A 1,892-nucleotide genomic window follows, 5' to 3' on the forward strand; every position below is an offset into this window, starting at 1 on the left:
GGTCTTGAACTCCTGACCTCAGGTGATCCACCCACCTCGGCCTCCCAAAGTGCAGGGATTACAGGTGTGAGCCATTGTGCCTGGCCAAGCAGCAATCCCTTTAAAGGAATTTTTTTTTGTTGTTGTTGTTTTTTCTGAGCAGTAGGTCTCAATAGTGGGATTAAAATATTCAGTAAACCATGCTGTTAACAGATGTGTTGTCACTTGGACTGTAATGTTCCATTTCTAGAGCACAGAATGAATAGATTTTGCATAATTCTTAAGGGCTCTGAGATTTTCAGAGTGGTCAGTGAGCACTGGCTGTAACTTAAAGTCACCAACTGCAGTGGTCCTCAAAGAGAGTCAGCCCATCCTTTGAAGTTTTGAAGCCAAGTGTGGACATCTCTCTAGCCATGAAAATTTTACATCTTCACTAAGCTTAATCATTTCTAGCTCTGGACTTCAAGTGAGAGACGTGAAATTCTTCCTTTCATTTGAGCTCTTTGAGGCCACTCTGGTTACTAATTAACACCCCCGGCAGGTGTCATCCTCCTCCCTCCTCAATCGAGTTCACCCACACCAGGGCATGGGGAACTGGGCTTGCCGCACCCCACAGGCCCTGCACGCCTGGAGCTCTCCCACAGGGGGCTTTCGTGAGCCAGGGAGCAAGGGCCGTCCCACCGCTCCAGCCTAGCCAGGCTGCGCAGGCAGAAGGAATCTCTCAACCTGCCCCGGCACGCTGGGATTTTGTGTTTGCTGCCCTGGCTCCTCTAGAAGTAGGACTGTCCCACCCTCAGACTCCTCGGTGGCCTCCGCACCCCCAAAAATGCCAGGAGGACCAGGACCCGCAGCACGGCGGCCTGCTGGGTGCATGCTCAGTGGGACAGCTTGGGTACCCTCAAGCTGAGTCACAGGGGCAAAGTATGTTTGCGCCACCCACGTCCCACCAGAGTCCGCGGTGGGGCTGGAGCCCCAGGTCGCCATGGCGGCGTGGGAAACCGAAGACGGGGCACCTCCACTTTCGAAGCTGGCGACCCCAGAGACCTCCGCGTCAAGCACATATGCAAGCCATCCAGGCACCTCCCAACCGCTCCAGGAGCCGGGGCGCTCGTCTACACTCACCCCCAGCCAGTTAGATGAGCTCCTGTAAACCCCAGAGTTCCAGCAAAAGGCACAACCTTTCCTAGATCCGGCGCCACTGGGGGAGCTGAAGGACGTGGAAGAGCCCGCTCCGCTGGAAGCACTCCTCAGCTAGGAAGAACAGCGGGCTGTGCTGGAGGAGCTTTAGGACGCGGGGTTGGGGCGGGGTAGGGGCAGGGCGGCGGCCTCTCTTTCGCGGTGAACCTCTGACTCGGTATGGAGAGGCGTGTCTTCCCTTCCAGCTGACCTGCCTAGGATCCCTGAGTTCCAGGTCGCGTGAGAGACTCCACTCAGAGGAGGGCTGTCATTCTTTTCTGAGCATCCCGGGGATCCCAGGGCCCCTCCAGGTACCGGGAGGCAGACTGTCTACTGCTCATGCGCGGATTAGCAGGCAGTAGCCTAGGTTTTCTAACTAGCCTAGGTGGAGCTCTCATCACTTCCCTCTTGCCCCCCACCGCGTTCTTCAGTGGGGAGGGCGGAGAACTCCATCCCGGGAAACACTGGCCCGGGCAGGCGCCAGGACTGCTCTTCTTTCCGCGTCTCGCCAACTCTGCCTCCCCGCCACACCGTCACTGGCCTACCCTTGCCCCGCCAGCTTCCTCGGCATCACCGTGGAGCGCCTGACAGCTAAATGCAGACCCGAGACCCCGGGCAAACCGGGGTGCTGCCCTTTCTACGCGGGAGGGAACTCAGGCAGAGATGGGGAGAGGAACGGAGACAGAGAGGGAGGGAACGATGGAGGGAGGAAAGAACGGATGGACCGAGGGACCTTG

General features: G+C 57.8%; 1 pseudogene; it reads left to right on the forward strand.

The window, feature by feature from the left end:
• On the forward strand, positions 511 to 1,453 carry DUX4L40 (double homeobox 4 like 40 (pseudogene); annotated as a pseudogene).
• Positions 1,454 to 1,892: the final 439 nt, after the last annotated feature.

This window comes from Homo sapiens, chromosome 22 (genome assembly GCF_000001405.40).
Source record: "Homo sapiens chromosome 22, GRCh38.p14 Primary Assembly".
Taxonomy (NCBI): Eukaryota; Metazoa; Chordata; class Mammalia; order Primates; family Hominidae; genus Homo; species Homo sapiens.